The sequence below is a fragment of the Homo sapiens genome, chromosome 16 (genome assembly GCF_000001405.40).
Source record: "Homo sapiens chromosome 16, GRCh38.p14 Primary Assembly".
Taxonomy (NCBI): Eukaryota; Metazoa; Chordata; class Mammalia; order Primates; family Hominidae; genus Homo; species Homo sapiens.
This window is the reverse complement of record NC_000016.10, coordinates 89,217,671-89,238,325: the sequence shown is the minus strand read 5'-3', so window position 1 is coordinate 89,238,325 and position 20,655 is coordinate 89,217,671. Positions and strand designations below refer to the sequence as shown.

At 49.0% G+C, this 20,655-nt stretch overlaps 1 protein-coding gene across 4 annotated transcripts, besides 3 other annotated features; it reads right to left on the bottom strand.

The window, feature by feature from the left end:
* Window positions 1-1,184: 1,184 nt before the first annotated feature.
* Window positions 1,185-20,623, bottom strand: ZNF778 (zinc finger protein 778). 4 transcript variants are annotated; one of them, NM_001201407.2, is made up of 7 exons: window positions 20,416-20,623; window positions 17,174-17,329; window positions 16,143-16,234; window positions 15,043-15,169; window positions 13,524-13,607; window positions 12,695-12,771; window positions 1,185-11,632 (listed from the first exon to the last, which is right to left on the bottom strand). In NM_001201407.2, exons 2-7 carry the CDS (start codon window positions 17,196-17,198, stop codon window positions 9,764-9,766), a joined length of 2,274 nt encoding a protein of 757 aa, NP_001188336.1. In that variant the 5' UTR covers window positions 17,199-17,329; window positions 20,416-20,623; the 3' UTR covers window positions 1,185-9,763. The 4 variants fall into 4 exon arrangements, 3 of the variants coding, with proteins under 3 accessions (NP_001188336.1, NP_001365810.1, NP_872337.2); NM_001378881.1 differs by having other exon boundaries at window positions 17,174-17,322; NR_037705.3 differs by lacking the exon at window positions 15,043-15,169.
* Window positions 5,811-6,105: a silencer, noted in NCBI's record as "tiled region #2584; HepG2 Repressive DNase matched - State 5:Enh". NCBI's record gives its function as "represses a minimal TATA promoter and a strong SV40 promoter by Sharpr-MPRA in HepG2 cells {active_cell/tissue: HepG2}" and the evidence as "EXISTENCE:reporter gene assay evidence [ECO:0000049][PMID:27701403]".
* Window positions 19,207-19,736: an enhancer, noted in NCBI's record as "H3K4me1 hESC enhancer chr16:89284998-89285527 (GRCh37/hg19 assembly coordinates)". NCBI's record gives its function as "activates a minimal SCP1, AML or CMV promoter by ChIP-STARR-seq in naive and primed H9 embryonic stem cells {active_cell/tissue: H9 hESC(naive and primed)}" and the evidence as "EXISTENCE:reporter gene assay evidence [ECO:0000049][PMID:30033119]".
* Window positions 19,737-20,267: an enhancer, noted in NCBI's record as "H3K27ac-H3K4me1 hESC enhancer chr16:89284467-89284997 (GRCh37/hg19 assembly coordinates)". NCBI's record gives its function as "activates a minimal SCP1, AML or CMV promoter by ChIP-STARR-seq in primed H9 embryonic stem cells {active_cell/tissue: H9 hESC(primed)}" and the evidence as "EXISTENCE:reporter gene assay evidence [ECO:0000049][PMID:30033119]".

Here is a 20,655-nt window from a genome sequence, read left to right as displayed (position 1 = left end):
ATGAGATGGAGTTTTGCTCTTGTTGCCCAGGCTGGAGTGCAATGGCGCTATCTCGGCTCATTGCAACCTCCACCTCCCGGGTTCAAGAGATTCTCCTGCCTCAGCCTCCCAAGTAGCTGGGATCACAGGTGCCTGCCACCATGCCCGGCTAATTTTGTATTTTTAGTACAGACAGGGTTTCGCCATGTTGCCCAGGCTGGTCTTGAACTGCTGGCCTTAAGTGAGCCAGCCACCTCAGCCTCCCAAAGTGTTGGGATTACAGGCATCAGCCACTGCACTCAACACCCTGTGGTAATTTTCTTTGTGCTGAAGTCATTTTTTCTGATGTTAAATACAGCCTCTCCACTTTATTATGTTTACATGGTACTATTAACCTATTTACGTCATTGTATTTGAAGTGTCTTGTAGATGACATACTGATGCGTCACACTTTTTATCTGTCCTATCTTTAAATAGCATGTGTAGATCATATTTTTTTTTTGAGATGAAGTCTTGCTCTGTTGCCCAGTCTGGAGTGCAGTGGCACGATCTTGGCTCATTGCAACCTCCACCTCCTGGGTTCAAATGATTCTCCTGCCTCAGGTTCCTGAGTAGCTGCGACCACAGGCATGAGCCACCAAACCTGGCTAATTTTTGTATTTTTAGTAGAGACAAGGTTTTACCGTGTTGGCCAGGCTGGTCTGGAACTCCTGACCTCAAGTGATCCACCCGCCTCGGCCTCCCAAAGTGCTGGGATTACAGGCGTGAGTGCCCAGCTGATCATGTGCACTAATGTGTTTGATTATCTAGGATTCAGCTCTACCAGTTATTTTTTATTTTTTATTTTAGACAGAGTCTTGCTGTCACCCAGGCTGGAGTACAGTGGCGCGATCTCAGCTCACTGCCACCTCCACCTCCCCGGTTCAAGTGATTCTCCTACCTCAGCCTCCCACGTAGCTCGAATTATAGGCTCCCACCATCACCCCTGGCTAACTTTGTATTTTTAGTAGAGACGGGATTTCACTATGTTGGCCAGACTGGTCTGACTCCTGACCTCAAGTGATCCGCCCGCCTCGGTCTCCCACAGTGCTGGGATGACAGGCCTGAGCCACCGCACCTGGCCACCACTTCGTTACCTACTTGTTCTCTTTTGTTCCCAGTACTCAGTTTCCCCTTTATCACAATTCTTTCAGGCTATTTAACACTTTTTTTAGTAGTATGTTTTAATTAACATATTGGACCATTTTAGTATATCTCATTGTCCTTTTTTTTTTTAGACAGAGTCTTGCTCTGTCACCCAGGCTGGAGTGCCGTGGCACAATCTCGACTGACTGCAACCTCCACCTCCTGGGTTCAAGTGATTCTCCTGCCTCAGCCTCCTGAGAAGCTGAGATTACAGGTGCCCCCAACCACACACAGCTAATTTTTGTATTTCTTAGTAGAGATGGGGTTTCACCATGTTGGCCAAGCTGGTCTCAAACTCCTGACCTCAAGTGATCCACCCACCTCACTCTCCCAAAGTGGTGGGATTACAGGCGTGAGCCACCACACCCAGCTGTACACTTCTTTAGTAATTAAAATATACAGACTTAGCTTTTCCAGTCCTTCTGGAATGGTATTTTGCCACTGAAATGGAGCACGGAACCTCCACGCCGTCCAGCCACGTTGCCCCTCACCTTCATGTTGTAGTTGTCTTATGTATTAAATATACATCAGTTGAAACCCCATGTGATAATTTTTGCTTTTGACAATAATATATATTTTAAAGAACTCAAGAGTAGAATGATCTGATCTATTTACTCAGGTATTTACTCTTCTATTGCTTTTCCTTTGTTCCAGGTTTCCTTAAGAGTTTTCTGTAACCATTTATTTAAACCAGGTCTGCAGGCAATTCTTTGTATTGCCTCATCGTTACTTCTGTTTCATTCCTAAAGGATATTTTGTTGGATATAGCAATCTGGGTTGGCATTTCTTTTTATTTCAGAACTTGAAAAATGCTCCTACATTTCCTGTTGGCCTCTATGGCTTCCGACGAGAAACCCGGTCAATTGAATTGTTCTTCTGGAAGCACTGTGTCCACTTTCTCAGCCTCCTTCCAAGACTTTCACTCTGTAGCTTTCGGCAGCTTCGTGGTGGCAGGGGCTTGGTTTTCTTTTCTTTCTTCTTTTTTGAGACAGAGTCTCGCTCTGTTGCCCAGGCTGGAGTGCAGTGGTGCAATCTCAGCTCACTGCATGCTCTGCCTCCCGGGTTCACGCCATTCTCCTGCCTCAGCCTCCCCAGTAGCTGGGACTGCAGTCGCCCGCCACCACGCCCAACTAAATTTTTGTATTTTTCTTTTTTTTTTTTTTTTTTACTAGAGACGAGGTTTCACTGTGTTGGCCAGGATGGTCATGATCTCCTGACCTTGTGATCCGCCCACCTCGGCCTCCCAAAGTGCTGGGATTACAGGTGTGAGCCACCGCCCCCGGCCTGGGCTTGGTTTTCTTTAGGTTTATCCTGTCTGGGGCTCATGGAACCTCTTCAAACTTAAGTTTTTATCTTACACCAAATATGAGAAATGTTTCATCATTATTTTTTCAAGTGGTTTTACTACATCACACTTTCTCCTTTTCTTCCAGGATACTGAGGTCATGAATGTTAGCCATTTGGTATCATAACACTGCTCCCCAAGGCTGTTGCACATATGCTGAATAATTTAAGATTATAGTCTACACTTCTGAATTTTAGGTTATGACACTCTGGGTCTGTCAGTCCCACGGGTGATGGAGATACTGGTTCATCAGGCGAGTAACCTAGTCAGGTTCAGGAGGCAAGTTCTATTGAAACCATGTGGGTCGTGCTTTCCATGTTGATTCTGTCTTAAAGCCTACGCAGAACTGCTCATGTCTCTTCTCGGGCGAGGCTCGTCCACCTACAGAGTGGTCAACCTCACAGGCCAGCTCCTAAGGCTGATGATGTGTTTGCTGCTGCAGGACTGCCTGGAGGCCAGGGCAAGCGAATGGGAAAAACTAAACTTTCGGATTTTTTCTCTCACAGTGTTAGGACACCTGTTTCCCACTCGTTGTGTGAAAACGGAAGTCAGCATGAGGCCCCGATCTGGAGCCTAGTGGGTGCTGGTGCCAAGCTTCTGGGACCCTCCAGGCCTTCAGAATTGTGAACAAAATAAACCTCTTTTCTTCATTAAAAAAAAGAGGCCTTGCAAAAATTTTTATGTCCATAGTGGGAAAAATGACATTACACTCTACAGATACGGTCAACAAAAATCAACTCCAAATGGATTAAGCAACTTGGGATAAAACATAGAAACTGTGGAAGCCAAAATAGTACAGCATATTTAAGGCCTTAGGAGAAAAGAAATTTCTGATGAAGATAAAGGAAAGGTTGTATAAATTTGAGTATGCCAAAATTAAGAAATATTTTTCCTTTTTTTTTGAGACAGAGTCTCACTCTGTTGCCAGGCTGGAGTGCAGTGGCGCGATCTCGGTTCACTGCAATCTGTGCTTCCCATCTTCAAGCAATTCTCCTGCCTCAGCCTCCCAAGGAGCTGGGATTACAGGCGTGCACCACCACATCTAGCCAATTTTTCTATTTTTAGTAGAGATGGCGTTTCACCATGTTGGCCAGGATGGTCTTGATCTCCTGACCTTGTGATCCACCCACCTCGGCCTCCCAAAGTGTTGGGATTACAGGCCTGAGCCACCACACCTGGCACAATCTTTTTCCTTAAGGCATCATCACAAAAGTGGAAACAGGTGAAGTGGAAACCACTGCAATCTTCTAAGTCACAAGTGGTGACTCACCTCACAACAGCCTCACTATTTCTAAAAAAGAACAAAGATCAAACAAACCAGGAAAAAACAAGACCAGGTACTTCATCCAAAAAGGAAAATAGCCAGCGTAAGCAAAACCATGTTCATACTATCAGTAATGAAGAGAAGTGCAAACCAACACCCCAAGGAGATGCTGTTTCACAACCACTTTGGAAAAAACGTCACTCCCTAAGAAGGTTGAACGAGTAGAGAGAAAGAATAAAACTGCCCAGGAGTCAACATGGCAGTTCCTACAGATAGTTCAAGAATCCCTGGGCTGGGTAAGACCTTGTCACAGACATGTGCTTAGGTAGAGAGACTATGAGGAAAACCACACCACTGGTGGGGCCTAGACGCGGACTCGTCAAGGTGAGTGAGTGACACACACAGGTTCCTGACATGGAAAGTTTATCACTCACAGTGTCAAGAGAAGGCGGCACATCACTCCAGGCAGGGCCCAAGGGGAGCTGCAGAGCTGGGCAGGAGGCAGAAGTCAGAGCCAGGGGAGGCAGAGGCCACAGGGTTTTCACAGGAAAGGCAGGACAGGGCAGGATGAAGTCTGGGGCTGGCTAGTCTGCATACTTCCAGCAGGCCCAAGGGCATACAGCATGTCCTGCTGTCTAGTGCCTCATCCTGGGCTGACTTCAGGGAGGAGAAATACTGGCTTGGTGTGGTAGTTAGAAAAAGGAAGTGGCCGGAAATAAGTACTTGCAACAGTTGAGTTGCATACGCAGTGCGAGCTGAGTTGCATACGCAGTGCGAGTTGAGTTGCATACGCAGTGCGAGTTGAGTTGCATATGCAGTGCGAGTTGAGTTGCATACGCAGTGAGTTGAGTTGCATATGCAGTAAGTTGATTTGCATACGCAGTGCGAGTTGAATTGCATATGCAGAGCGAGCTGAGTTGCATACAGTGTGAGTTGAGTTGCATATGCAGTATGAGTTGAGTTGCGTTGCATATGCAGTGCGAGCTGAGTTGCATATGCAGTGAGTTGATTTGCATACGCAGTGCGAGTTGAGTTGCATACACAGAGCAAGCTGAGTTGCATACGCAGTGTGAGTTGAGTTGCACACGCAGTGCGAGTTGAGTTGCACACGCAGTGCGAGTTGAGTTGCATACGCAGTGCGAGTTGAGTTGCATACGCAGTGCGAGTTGAGTTGCATACGCAGTGCGAGTTGCATACGCAGTGCGAGCTGAGTTGCATACGCAGAGCGAGCTGAGTTGCATACGCAGAGCGAGCTGAGTTGCATACGCAGTGCGAGCTGAGTTGCATACGCAGAGCGAGCTGAGTTGCATACGCAGAGCGAGCTGAGTTGCATACGCAGAGCGAGCTGAGTTGCATACGCAGTGCGAGCTGAGTTGCATACGCAGTGCGAGCTGAGTTGCATACGCAGAGCGAGCTGAGTTGCATACGCAGAGCGAGCTGACTTGCATACGCAGTGCGAGCTGAGTTGCATACGCAGTGCGAGCTGAGTTGCATACGCAGAGCGAGCTGAGTTGCATACGCAGTGCGACTTGAGTTGCATACGCAGAGCGAGCTGGGTTGCATACGCAGAGCGAGCTCAGTTGCATACGCAGAGCGAGCTGAGTTGCATAGGCAGTGAGTGGATTCGCATACGCAGTGCGAGTTGAGTTGCATACGCAGTGCGAGTTGAGTTGCATACGCAGTGCGAGTTGATTTGCATACACGGTGTGAGTTGAGTTGCATATACGGTGTGAGTTGAGTTGCATATGCAGTGAGTTGATGTGCATATGCAGTGAGTTGATTTGTATATGCAGTGCATGTTTCCAGCAAGTTGTTTACCATCTTTAGGAATGATCTAGCCTGAGAGGGACGGTCTAGCCCCCACAGCAAGACCCCAGGATGAAAATGTACCCTAACAAAAAAAAAAAAAACATAATTAATACAATTGGTCCTTTAATATTTTATCTTACTCTGAGGAACCCTCAGACATTGGGAGTGGAGATTTTCACACAGGAGGGCATAAGTTGCCCTAAGTGACACAGAACACGTTCTGAGAGTTAGGAAGAGAAATACAGGTATCTGCCTAACCAGTACTTGCAGTCCTGCCCATAACCCAGTTTTCCATCATGCTTGGTGTCTTAGTCTGTCTGTGTTGCTACATATCTGAGGCTGTGGGTAACTTAGAAAGAGGCTTATTTGGCTCATGGTTCAGCAGGCTGTGCAAGCATAGCACTGGCATCTGACCTGCTTCTGGTGAGGACTATTTGCTGTGTCAAACAGGGCAGAGAAGGTCAAGGGCAGTGAGCCAAACCCGAGGGACGGCTTGGCTTTATCACAACCATGCTCCCAGTAACTAGTGCATTCCCCTACAAACCAATCCAGGCTTGACACAGCAAGAATGAATGGTATCCAACCATTCAGGAGGGTGCCCCCATGACCCAAACCCCCACCAGGCCCCCTCCCAGCACTGCCACACTGAGGGTCAAAGCTCAACATGAGACTTGATGAGGGCAAACCAATCACATCCACATCACAGCATATGGTATTACTCAAGAAAATCACTTTGAAATGTTGGGGGTCCAATGATAATATCCTTGAGGAGTTATAAAGGTGATAAAGGGATGAGTTTGACAATTATCAGGATGGCAGGTCTGTAGTTCTGCTGCAGGAGGGTATGAAGCAAACAGTTAGTATGTGTAAAGAAGAGGCTCTGTGTGAAGCCAAGTCAAGGGAGTAAGGAGATGAGATGGAAAGCTGCAGCGGAGGAGAAGGCACTGGGGAGACAGTGGCCTTCCCAGAGGCTGATAGGAGGCGGGCACCTCCTGGTGAAACAAAACATTTTGGTATCAATTATTGAGACTTCACAGACACTACTAACTCCTACCAGATTTTCCTACAGGCAAGGGGTGCAGGGCTGTGGGTTTTGGTTGAGATTACACCAGGATCACGGGTTAGCGGACAGCAAGCTCAGCTCATCACAGAATCTCAAATATCAAATTTGTGCCTTAGGAACCCCAGTCCATGGGCATCGCTGCTGAGGAGGTTCTGAAGAAGTGCGTGAAGTCACCTCCAGTGAAGGGAGGGGGAGTCGTCGGAGGGGTAGTCGTCTTAATTGAGGTCTGTGCTGGGGTGATGTCTCCACCAACAGTGGGCATATCAGGCAGGGTGGTGTCTGGGCTACCGCCTGCTCAGGATGCTGTCACTAGGAGTCCGAGCACCAGGATGATGCAGTCCTGGCGTCACCTGTGACCCACAAGTTCTGGACTCAGGCAACTGTGAGTCAGTTCTAGCAGAGACCTGCAGGACTTATTTCAGCCAATCAGGATGTCACCTGAGACCAGTCCAGGAGCCGCTACAACCCCACAAGCTGGTTCCCGCTAATCTGATGACCTTTAGTGTCAATGCCAACAATTAAAGGTGGCAACAGATGAGCTAAATAGCCACACTCAATCCCACAAGAGAAACATGGCACAACCCACTCCTCTCCACAACAAACACGTAACATGAAGGTGCATGGCTCTGTCCATCCAGAATTTCAAACACGTGACATGAAGGTGCACAGGTCTGTCCATCCAGGATTTCAAACATGTGACAGGAAGGTGCACGGGTCTGTCCATCCAGAATTTTAAACACGTAACATGAAGGTGCATGGGTCTGTCCATCCAGAATTTCAAACACGTGACATGAAGGTGGACGGGTCTGTCCATCCAGGATTTCAAACACGTAATATGAAGGTGCACGGGTCTGTCCATCCAGGATTTATTGTTCACCTCGTTGTAGATTACCTTTATACCGTGGGGATTCAACACCACAGAAACAGTCACCAAGCAGCTGCTGCCCTGATGGCCACAAAAAACATAACCCAGGATTGCTGCAGCCAGAGGACACACATTCGTGTCACTCACATGAAGTCTTGCTCTGCCACTGTGTGTGTTTAAGGGCCTCATCCAAGAAGCGCCAGTGACAGGGCCAAGCGCCACAGAACATCAGGACCAGCCGTGTCCCTGGTCTGTTTTCATGGTACACAAAGGAGCAGCACACACACAAGCAGCAGCTGCCCCAGGAGTGCCGGGTCGCAGCAGCTGCCCCATGAATGCCGGATCACAGCAGCTGCCTCATCAGTGCCGGATCGCAGCAGCTGCCCCAGGAGTGCCAGATTGCAGCAGCTGCCAGGACCGCTCTGCATGCTGTGAAGAGGATCTGGAGGTCAACAAGGACACTCAGGGCTCTCACCCGTCCGGCACTGCCTAAGGTACAGGAATTCCCTCCTCCCCACGTGGGGGGTGGTGGTTCTCCCTCCACGGCCATGAAACGGGGGCATCTCAGGGTACAGACCTCGCCCCTCTCCACTCTGCCCCTCCTTGCACCCTGGTGTTTTATCTGAAGGGATCAGGTATGGGAGAGGAACAAGGGCATTTTCATAAAATGTAGAGCTGTGTTATGCCCCAACATTGGCCAGTGTGGGACCCTACAGGTGGGTCATGCCTAAGAGCATGACTAACCAACCAGAGCCTACGCTGCTCATACAGGATCCCATCTGGATACTTAAGACTAACCAACCAGAGCCTACACTGCTCACACAGGATCACATCTGGATCCTCAAGACTAACCAACCAGAGCCTACACTGCTCACAGAATCACATCTGGATCCTCAACACTAACCAACCAGAGCCTACGCTGCTCACACAGGATCACATCTGGATCCTCAAGACTAACCAACCAGAGCCTACGCTGCTCACACAGGATCACATCTGGATACCTAAGACTAACCAACCAGAGCCTACACTGCTCACAGAATCACATCTGGATCCTCAAGACTAACCAACCAGAGCCTACGCTGCTCACACAGGATCACATCTGGATCCTCAAGACTAACCAACCAGAGCCTACGCTGCTCACGCAGGATCACATCTGGATCCTCAAGACTAACCAAGCAGAGCCTACGCTGCTCACAGAATCACATCTGGATCCTCAAGACTAACCAACCAGAGCCTACGCTGCTCACAGAATCACATCTGGATCCTCAAGACTAACCAACCAGAGCCTATGCTGCTCACAGAATCACATCTGGATCCTCAAGACTAACCAACCAGAGCCTACGCTGCTCACACAGAATCACATCTGCATCCTCAAGACTAACCAACCAGAGCCTACACTGCTCACAGAATCACATCTGGATCCTCAAGACTAACCAACCAGAGCCTACAGTGCTCACACAAGATCACATCTGGATCCTGAAGACTAACCAACCAGAGCTTACACTGCTCACAGAATCACATCTGGATCCTCAAGACTAACCAACCAGAGCCTACGCTGCTCAAAGAATCACATCTGGATCCTCAAGACTAACCAACCAGAGCCTACACTGCTCACACAGGATCACATCTGAGTCCTCAAGGCCTACTGTTAGCCAGGCTGCGACGTGGACACTGTAGCAACCAGACTGGAGGATTTCTACAGGGAACAGAGTCCTCACTCCAAGAATGATCAGTGCAGCATCATAAAGATTCAAAATACGTCTACAGAACCCCCAGAAAGACATGTCTCAAGTTAGCCCACAAGGTTTTAGAACACAGGGAAGCGACTGCTATCTTCCATACATTCACAACACTTCAAGTGTCAATCACCACGTTTACTAAAGGGTGAGGAAAGATGTAATGTAAAAAATGACTTCCCAACAATTCTCACCCTCCTAAGGTTTTTCTTCATTGTGAGATCACAAGGGATCATCAAAGTACTGAGCAGAACAGCAACAATGCTGCTGCATATCACACATCAATAGAGTTCTCTCTACTGGATACCATCCATATTCAGCAAGACCTTAGAGAACACTGAGGGCTTTCTCTGTGTCTGCTGCATAGGGCTCCAGGGTGAGTTCCTGCCTGCCGGGTTGTGATGAGATGCTGATTGCCTAGCCACATTCCTCAAGTCATGGACATCTGGAGAACGAGAGGTCTTTCATGTCTTCAACGTGAATGAGTGTAGCTGACAGCTTCCCCACATTCTTTACATTAGAAAGGTTTCTCATCAGTGTGAATTTGAGTGTGATGGTTAAGGCATGAGGAATTCTTAAAAGATTTTCCACAGTCCTTACATACAAAAACCTGCTCTTCAGTGTAAGTTTTTAAATGTTCTTTTAGTAGATAAAACCTATTGTATGCTTTCCCACATTCCTTACATTTATAGGGTTTCTGCCCAGTGTGAATTCTTCCATGTTTATGCAGGTGAGAGGAGGCACGGAAGGCTTTCCCACACTCGTTACATATGTAAGGTTTCTCTCCTGTGTGAGTCCTTCTGTGTTCGATAAGGTGTGAGGAGGAAGCAAAGGCTTTCCCACACTCCTTACATATGTAGGGTTTCTCACCGGTGTGGGTTCTTATGTGCACGATAAGGTGTGAGGATGTGGTGAAGGCCTTTCCGCATACTTTACATTCATAAGGTTTCTCTCCAGTGTGAGTTCGTATGTGCTCGGTTAGGCTCGAAGAAACAGTGAATGTTTTCCCACAGTCCTTACATTCATAAGGTTTTATTCCAGTGTGAATCTGAATGTGCTTATTCAGGCACGAGGAATTTCTGAAGGATTTCCTGCATACCGTACATATAAAGGGCTTCTCCTCTGTGTGAGTTTTCACATGCTCATTCAGTAGATAAACCCTATTGTAGGCTTTCCCACAGTCCTTACATTCATAGGGCTTCTCCCCGGTGTGTGTCCGCATGTGTTTAGTGAGGCCTGAGCGCCCTGTGAAGGCTTTGCCACACTGCTTACATTCGTAGGGTTTCTCTCCGGTATGGATTCTCGCGTGCTCAGTCAGGCTTGAAGAAACAGTGAAGGATTTCCCACAATCTTTACATTCATATGGTTTCTCTCCAGTGTGAGTCCTTACATGCTCAGTAAGGCCCGAGGATGTACAGAAGGCTTTCCCGCAGTCCTTACACGTGTATGGCTTCTCGCCCGTGTGTGTTCGTACGTGTCTAGTAAGGCCACAGCGCACAGTGAAGGCCTTCCCACAGTAGCTGCATGTATAGGGTTTTATTCCAGTGTGAATTCGAACATGATTATTAAGGCATGAGGAATTTCTAAAATATTTTCCGCAAACCACACATGCAAAGGGCTTCTCCCTCGTGTGAGTTTTTCCATGCTCATTCAGTAGATAAAACCCACCGCAGGCTTTCCCACAGTCCTTACATTCATAGGGCTTCTGTCCAGGGTCTGTTTGGACGTGTTTAGAAAGACCTGAGAGTCCAGTGAAGGCTTTTCCGCATTCTTTACATTCACAGGGTTTCTCTGCAGCATGAATTCTTACATGTTGAGTTAGGCTGGAAGAAACAGGGGAGGCTTTTCCACATTCTTCCAATTCACAGGGCTTTTCCCCAGGGTGGACTTGCACGCGACCAGTAAGGTAGGCAGTGTACCTAAAGGCCTTCCCACATTCCCTACATACGTGGGGATTCCTGACGGCATGCATTTCAACAGGTGTGGCGCAGCCCATGGAGTGAGTTAGAGCTTTCCCACACGGCTTCCATTTCCATGTTTCTTCTCCGTTGTGACTTCCCGCACGTGCCTGAAGGTATGACTGATTAAGGAACACTTCCCCACAGCTGCTGTAGTCAAGAGATCTGTCCCGAGTGCATGCTTGCTGGGAAACAACATTTGGAGTAGAGCTGAAGGCTTTTCCACACTGACCCAACACGGAAAACTGCTCTCCAATTTTGAACAAGGTTTTCTGGCATGGAATAAAAAAGTCCCTTTCATAATGATTAGACACACAACTGTCTCCTGTATTTTGAGTTCTCACGTGTGTGCTGAGGCCTGAGTGTTCACTGAAAGCTTCTCCACACTGCGTGCGGTCACAGAGCTGCCCTCCATTGTGGCTTCTTGCCTGTTGGTGAAGAATGAGTGGTGGTCAGGGGGTTACTGAGGCTGATTCATAGATCTCACCCAGCTGAAGACAGAGCATGACGATGATGATTACGATTTTTGCCATTTTCATAACATGCAAGCAGCTCCTGCCCTGTAGATGTCTTTCAAGTCAAATGAGGAGCCCCACTGCAAGAATCCTGTGCCATCAGGACGGGCGCAGCAGCTCATGCCTGTAATCCCAGAACTTTGGGAGGCCGAGGCGGGCAGATCACCTGAGGTCGGGAGTTCAAGACCAGCCTGACCAACATGGAGAAACCCCGTCTCTATTAAAAATACAAAATTAACTGGGCATGGTGGCGCATGCCTGTAATCCCAGCTACTCAGGAGGCTGAGGCAGAAGAATGGCTTGAACCAGGGAGGCAGAGGTTGCGGCGAGCTAAGATTGCGCCGTTGCATTCCAGCCTGGGCAACAAGAGCAAAACTCCATGTCAAAAAAAAGAATCGGCCAGGCACAGTGGCTCACGCCTGTAATCCCAGTACTTTGGGAGGCTGAGGTGGGAGGATCACAAAGTCAAGAGATCGAGACCATCCTGGCCAACATGGTGAAACCCCGTCTCTACTAAAAATACACAAATTAGCTGGGCATGGTGGCACATGCCTCTAGTTCCAGCTACTTGGGAGGCTGAGGCAGGACAATCACTTGAATCCAGGAGGCGGAGGTTGCAGTGAGCCAAGATCGTGCCACTGCGCTCCAGCCTGGTGATGGAGTGAGACTTCATCTCAAAAAAAAAAAAAAGAATCCTGCACCATCTGCTCTAACTTCGAAAAGTCTGTGCGCACAAAACAGCTCTGCGATCTCAAGACCTCGTCATGTGTGCGCTGATGTGTGTCTGAAGCACCAAGTTTCAAGACAGGATGAGGTCCTCCCAAATTCCGCACATTCAGAGTGTTCTCTACAGACAACCCCTGCCTGAGTGAATCCTGCTTCTCTAAATTCTCTCAATTTTGCTCATTTTCTATAGTGGAATTCCCAATCTTTTATGAGTGTGATAAATAAAAAAATCTCTCTTGTTAATCTTACCGTCTGTGTCTCATTTGATGCTCTGAACCAAGATCTATCCTGCCGAAGTGCTGGCCCTTTGGTTTTAAGTCGCCATTCTGAAAAGAAAGAAGAATGACCTAAAAACGATCAAACTCATTGGTATTTGTTTTCATATAAGACATGGCAGAAAAAAAAACAAAGCAAAGATAGATTTAAGGAGTTTGGCTATGTGTAAAATTTGGAATCATAGGAACTGGGAGTCATAATTTAGAAGATTTTAAAATACATTTGGTCCATAAAGAAGAAATGTGAGGTGAACAGAAACAATATTATCAATGAAAGAAAGCAGGAAAGAGCTGGACAAAGGGCATACATTCAAAACACAAACTTGGCCAGGCGTGGCAGCACGCACCTGTAATCCCAGCTACTCAGGAGGCTGAGGCAGAAGAACTGAGTGAACCCAGGAGGCAGAGTTTGCAGTGAGCCAAGATTGTGCCACTGCACTCCAGCCTGGGCAACAGAGCAAGACTCCGTCTCAAAAAAAAAAAAAAAAAAAAAACCCACAAACTGAAAGAACAAAACAGCAGGTTTTTTATGAGATCACAAGAAAGGGAAAATCCAGATCAGATGGAAAATAAGGAATTACGGGAAGCTCAGGATACCCAGAGCCAACAGCCTCATGTTCTGTGCCAGAATGCATCTTAAAACGTGCACTCAGGATTCTTCCACAGCCGCTAAACTCGACACTCAGGATCCTCCCACAGCCGCTTAACTTGACACAATCCTTCCATAGCCGCTAAACTTGACACTCAGGATCCTCCCACAGCTGCTAAACTTGACATCGACCAGGCGTGCTCTTCACACTTACCTTGGAGAACTGCTCTCCGCCCTGCCCTCAACTCCTCTTCCTGCTCCAGCCAATAGATCACACTGGGTTGGAACAGGTGATGTCCTGTACACAGGGAAAGAGACATCGATGGAAGAGGCTCAGGCAGGGGATGACAAACCTACCCGTGAACAGGAACTACATTTCCTTTTTTTTATTATTTTTTGAGACAGCGTCTCGCGCTGTTGCCCAGGCTGGAGTGCAGTGGTGCAATCTCGGCTCACTGCAACGTCTGCCTCCTGGGTTCAAGTGATTCTCTTGCCTCAGCCTCCTAAGTAGCTGGGACTATAGGTGCCCGCCACCACGCCTGGCTAGTTTTTTGTATTTTTAGTAGAGATGGGGTTTCACCGTGTTGGTCAGAATGGTCTCAATCTCCTGACCTTGTGATCCGCCCACCCCGGCCTCTCAAAAGTGCTAGGATTACAGGCATGAGCCACTGCGTCTGGCGTCCCAGAGTGCTCGGATTACAGGCGTGAGCCACTGCGCCCAGCCTCCCAAAGTGCTGGGATTACAGGCATGAGCCACTGCGTCCAGCATCCCAGAGTGCTGGGATTACAGGCGTGGCCACCACACCCTGCCTCCCAGAGTGCTGGGATTACAGCCCTGAGCCACTGCGCCTGGCCTCCTAGAGTGCTGGGATTACAGCCCTGAGCCACTGCACCCAGCCTCCCAGAGTGCTCGGATTACAGCCCTGAGCCACTGCACCCAGCCTCCCAGAGTGCTCGGATTACAGCCCTAAGCCACTGCGCCTGGCCTCCCAGAGTGCTGGGATTACAGCCCTGAGCCACCGCGCCCGGCCTCCCAGAGTGCTGGGATTACAGCCCTGAGCCACTGCACCCAGCCTCCCAGAGTGCTCGGATTACAGGCATGAGCCACCGCGCCCGGCCAGGAACTACGTTTGTTTTTTTTTTGAGATGGAGTCTCGCTCTGTCACCCAGGCTGGAGTGCAGTGGCATGCCAGGAACTACATTTCTAAAGAATGCAGTGAAATTGTTTCAAAAGGGCTCAAAGTGCAAATACTCCATCCTTCTGCGCCCCAAAGAAACTGGTTATCTCTGATTCCTGAAGCCCACATTCAGGCTTAAATATACACGTAAAAACCACAAAGACTCTTACTCAAATAGGAAATAACAGAAGTGCAATAAGAGATCTTCATTCACTTGGGAAACTACTACCCAGTGGTTCTCAGTGTTAGAGTGAATTGGCATCGTCGGGAGGGCTTGTTACAGGAGAGATGACAGGCCCACCCCCAGGAGACATTCTGATCCAATGTGTCCCAGCTGAAGCCTCAGAATGCATGTTTCTAGAGGAGTGACGGTGATGCTCATGACCCCAGGACCACATTCTGGAAACGACCACACTAGCACCAAGCCTACTAGCACAGTTGTTATATCTCTTACTTCCCGTGGTACTCGGCTTTGCCGTCACCAACCCTGGAACACAGTAAGGACACATCAAGTATTGGTTCCACAGAAGTTGCAAAGGACGGTGGCAGCCTCACCTACTGAGGCCAGGTTCTCGTAGTTTTCCAGCATCACATCTCTGTAGAGGTCTCTCTGAGATGGGTCCAGTAAAGTCCATTCCTCCTGGGTGAAGTCCACAGCCACGTCGTCAAAGGTCACCGCGTCCTAAATCATCACACATGACGGTTGGAGCCTTCCAACGTGTCCATCGGTATTCACTGAAGAATGAGGAGGCGGGGCCCTACGCCTATGGGACTGTGAGGCCTCCTACTGTCTACCCCATGGCCCAGTGGTCCCAGGAACCCTTCTCTGCCCGCACACACGCCCTGTCGCTCTCCTCCAGTCACGCGCACCCTGTCGCTCTCCTCCAGTCACGCGTGCCCTGTCGCGCTCCTCCAGTCACGCGCACCCTGTCGCTCTCCTCCAGTCACACGGCCGCAACGACACCTCTAACATGTGAGCTTCTCTCACCACGCTCACTGGGCACTCCCCTCGCCTTATGTCCCTCTCCTGAGCACACTACAAACAAGTGGTAACTCGTGATGTGGAAATAAGTTCCCAGAGAGGATACCTTCCCCTTCCTTACCATGTGTCAGAGCACTAAGCAAAGTACGAAACACGCATTTGGCACAAGGGTGAAAATAATGAGTAATGTTGTGGCTGGGCGCAGTGGTGCAAGCCTGTAATCCCAGCCCTTTGGGAGGCCAAAGCGGGTGGATCACTTGAGATCAGCAGTTCAAGACCAGCCTGGCCAACATGGCAAAACCCCGTCTCTACTAAAAATACAAAAATTAGCCAGGCATGCTGGTGGGCACTTGTAATCCCAGCTACTTGGGAGGCTGAGGCAGGAGAATTGCTTGAACCTGGGAGGCGGAGATTGCAGTGAGCCGAGATTGGGCCATTGCTCTCCAGCCTGGGCGACAAAGCGAGACTCCGTCTCAAAAAAAAAAAGTAACACTGAAATACGGGGAGGATTTTCACAGTAACACCTGACCAGCCAGGCTCTTCTCCCTGGAGGCGTTCAACTAGGGACTCGGTCCTTGAGTGAGGCTGTGCAGACAAGTCTGCTCAGACAGAAACTTGTCTATCTGCTGAATACCAGTATGTTATTTTAAGAAAAAATACAGTTTTGGCATACCTGGTAACAATTTATCAGCCAGCCAGCCACCATCCCTGCTGCCTGTGTCTGTTCTTCATGAAGGCAGACTGAGTCCCTAGAAACATGACCTCCTAAAAAACAAAGAAGGCAAGAAGGCATGAGAACCCAGAGCTGACCCTAATTCCACACTCATGGACCCGGAAGTCATTCCATCCTAGCAGGAAATTATCACGTACTCCTGCACACTCAGGAAAACGCACACACACAGATATACAGTGTCAGGGAATTCCCACATACACCTGCACACTCAGGAAAACACACACACAAAGCCATACAGTACCTCAGGAAAACACACACACACACACAGCCATACACTTCCTCAAGAAAACACACACACACACAGCCATACACTGCCTGAGGAACACACACACACACACACAGTCATACAGAGCGAGGGAATTCCCATGTACTCTTGCACACTCAGGAAAAGACACACACAGCCATACAGTGCCTCAGGAAAACACACACATACAGCCATAAACTGCCTCAGGAAAATACACACACACACAGCCATACAATGCCTCAGGAAAATATAGTCCCTCAGGAAAATACACACACACACACACACACACACACACAGCCATACAGTGCCTCAGGAAAACACACACACAGAGCCATACAGTGCCTCAGGAAAACACACACAGACACACACACAGCCATACAGTGCCAGGGTAGTCTGTTTCGCCTGGTGACACAAAATGTTTGTGAGCTATGCCGCCCATCAGGAAATGGTAACAGGCTCCTATTGCAGATATGGAACGGTACGCCTTGAGGAACGTGACTCTTCATTTGCCCGTGGTGAGAAAACTCATGAAGGAGTTTACACATCATCCCTCCCCAAAGCACACACCCTGGGGCTGACTTACAGGTCAGCATTCTCTGGCTCACTCCAGCAGCTGCAATAGGAACCCGGAGCGTGACTACTCAGGCCCCGTCCATGGGCCTGATACACACACTGTGTATCAGGACCTAGAGCAGAGGCTCTGAGAAGGAGCCCCACCAGGACTTACCGTGGGCCAGGTCAGGGGCTGCCATCCTGGGAGGCTGACGGAAGCGTCTGAATGCTCCTTTCCTGAAGCCAAGGCCACTGCAGGGCAGCTTGTGAATCTATGTGGAAGGTACAGTCTCCATTCCTCCTGACCCACGGATGGCTGGATCCCTATTTCCTAGCAATCATGATGAAGAAGCATTACTTCCCAGTTATCAAACCTCACGCATTAGCTTGTTTCTGCAGATGATATATGTGAAAGCCACTATATCCACTTTACTCTCTTGAGGACTAGTAATATCCACGTCACCTACTGAAGAGCAGTATATGGGTCAAAAGACACAACAGAAGCCTTTAATTATCAGAACAGCCATTCACAGATTTCACCCGTGTTCATACCTAAAACAGCCTGGATTCAGATAACATGAACTGGTCCACATCATCCACTTAGGAAGTGGTGAACCAGGACGGTTAGCTGGTACATGTTCGACCATCTCGTCACAGGTTTTGTTTGCTTTTGAGATGGAGTCTTGCTGTCACCCAGGCTGGAGTGTAGTGGCGCAATCTCGGCTCACTGCAACCTCTGCCTCCCAGGTTCAAGCAATTCTTCCACCTCAGCCTACCAAGTAGCTGAGACTACAGGCGAGTGCCACCACACCCAGCTAATTTTTTTGTATTTTTAGTAGAGGTGGGGTTTCACCATGTTAGCCAGGATGGTCTTGATCTCCTGACCTCGTGATCCGCCCACCTCGGCCTCCCAAAGTGTTGAGATTACAGGCGTGAGCCACCGTGCCCCGCCCCGGTCTCGTCAGTTTGTACTCCTGAGTCTGCGGTCACTCCCCAGCAGGACAAAGGTAGGTCTAGAGCTGTACTTTCTTATTCTACCGATGAGGTGACTAAAACAGTAAAGTTTCACATGTCAGAAAAACATGTCCATTCTCCTTGTATAAACTGTACTTACTACTAGGTGTCGGCGGGGGCGAGGTCTTTGGGCTAAAAGACCCACAAATGTGTTGACTTTGTTGTCACCTGCACAGGCTCTTTTCCCTCCTTCAAAAAGGGATGTAATATTCAGTTCTCCACCTTAACATCATCCCCAGAGGACCTGACCCTCAGACTGCACTCATACACTATGTTGACATGAGGCTGGTTGGATACAGTGAACAGAAAATGAACACATTTTAGATAACTTCATATGAAATATACACAACAGAGAGCTTGTGATTCAGGGGCCATAGTTTCTACGAGTTCAGCAGTCTGGATTACATAAAGACATCCCCTCCGATATGCACCTCCAAGTTACTGCACCTCATGACACCTATAACCAAAAAAGAGGCACAACACTCTGCAGATCTTTTAATTTTAGGGGCAACGTATATAACAGCGTTAACGCTCTACACAGTTGCCTGTAAGGCTGCCAGTGCCAAGTGTGGATCAGTGCACATTCAGGGTGCAGGACAAGCTTCTTAGGCACTTGGTGGAAAGGACCCAGCAGACCCACTGACACAGCGTCCATGGTAAACAGGATGCCGCTGGATGCCTCTGGCAAGCACTGATAAGACTCAGAGCACAACCCTCTGGGATTTCAGAGTAAATCTACACCCTCTAAACGGTCATCTATGCAGCTGACCACTTACCTTTTCAGAAATAGGCTGGGGCTTGGAACCAGGACAGAGTAGAGAAGGAACAGCTAACATGGGACATGAGGTGACTAAGGCTGAACTCAGCCATCTGAGACCTCGTGGACCCAAAGGCATAAGGTGCTTACTATCCGCCCTTTGCCAACCTCTCCTCTGAATTCAATTACAAGTTCATAGGAAGCAGCAAGAAATGGAGGAATATTTAAACGTATCACGAGAAAACAACACCAAAGTCAATATGATAGAGAAACCACAGGGGTTGTTCTAGGTGAAAAGACATAAACGATGGGAACAGATAAACCTTGAAGGGCTCTTAGTCCCCAAAATACCCAACAGCGCAATGTTGGAAAAATGTTGAGAATCCTAGATATTACACAAAGTAGACAGTGGATGACCTCCTTCTTATTTTTTTATTTTTTTATTTTTTTGAGACGGAGTCTTGCTCTGTCGCCCAGGCTGGAGTGCAATGGCACGATCTTGGCTCACCGCAACCTGTGCCACCCAGGTTCAAGCGATTCTCCTGCCTCAGCCTCCCGACTAGCTGGGATTACAGGCATGCGCCACCATGCAAGGCTAATTTTGTACTTTTAGTAGAGACGGGATTTCTCCATGTTAGTCAGGCTGGTCTTGAACTCCCGACCTCAGATGATCCACCCGCCTCGGCCTCCCAAAGTGCTAGGATTACAGGCGTGAGCCACTGTGCCCAGCGGACCTTATTATTTTTAATTATTATTATTATTTTTTGAGACGGAGTCTCGCTCTGTCGCCCAGGCTGGAGTGCAGTGGCGCCATCTCGGCTCACTGCAAGCTCCGCCTCCCGGGTTCACGCCATTCTCCTGCCTCAGCCTCCAGAGTAGCTGGGACTACAGGAGCCCGCCACCACGCCCGGCTAATTTTTTGTATTTTTAGTAGAGATGGGGTTTCACCGTGTTAGCCAGGATGGTGTCGGTCTCCTGACCTCGTGATCCACCCGCCTCGGCCTCCCAAAGTGCTGGGATTACAGGCGTGAGCCACCGCGCCCGGCCTAATTTTAATTTTCTTAGATGAAATACTAATATTGTGGTTTCAGTAGGATAATGTCCTTACCCTTAACAGACGCTTTACCAAGTATTTAAAGGTTAAGTATCATGTGTGCAGTTTAATTTCAACTTACTTACACTCAAATAATAATTCACCGTAAGGTTTATTTATTGGGGGAGAGAGAAAACATGGCCCAAAGCTAAAAAGGAGTAAAACGATTGCAGTGGATATTCCTTGTAGCAGATGTTCACATTTTTATTAGATTCAGATTTTCTAAAGCAAAACGTGAGAAAAAATACAGTTAGTCGAAACACACTGTTCACCGTGGATTCGATTACTCCAAGACCAGCGGGACAACGGCCGCATCCCTCCCGCCCCGAGGGCCGGGCCTGGAAGTCCCGGCGGCGAGGGACGCGCGCTCCCGCTGGCCCCCACGGGCTAACTTTCACAGGGAGCTGCACGCCCGGGGCGCTCAGGGGTCTACCTTACGCTTCGGTCCCAACACAATGTGCCAGAAACAAATAAAAAACGTCAAAGCCGAAGCCAGATTCTCACAGAAACACGCCCTGTTCAAAGTGAAGGAAGCAAAGGGCCCCTCTCTCACCAGCTCCGCGGAATGGAAGCGCTGCCCGGGTCTACCGCGAGCGGCGGCGACTTTCCCTTCTGGAAGCGGTGCCGGGGGCGCAAGGCGCGAGGCAGGCGGGCGGGCGCCCACTCCCGGACCAGCTTCCCCGCGGACAGCCCGAGGACACGCGCGGAACTCTCCGGCGCCAGCACGCACCGCCGCAAGAACCGGATCAGCTGTAAGACAGGCGGAGGCGGGGCCGGCGCCGGAAGAGGGGCC

Bases quoted from the DNA above. Each gene is read 5' to 3' on its own strand.
- ZNF778 (NM_001201407.2), bottom strand. From the start codon at position 17,198: ATGGCAGCCCCTGACCTGGCCCACG. The intron at 15,170-16,142 runs GTATGCCAAAAC...GTGATGATTTAG, and splicing joins GGCTGATAAATTGTTACCAG to GACGCGGTGACCTTTGACGA. The intron at 11,633-12,694 runs GTAAGATTAACA...CTTCACCAACAG, and splicing joins CATCAAATGAGACACAGACG to GCAAGAAGCCACAATGGAGG.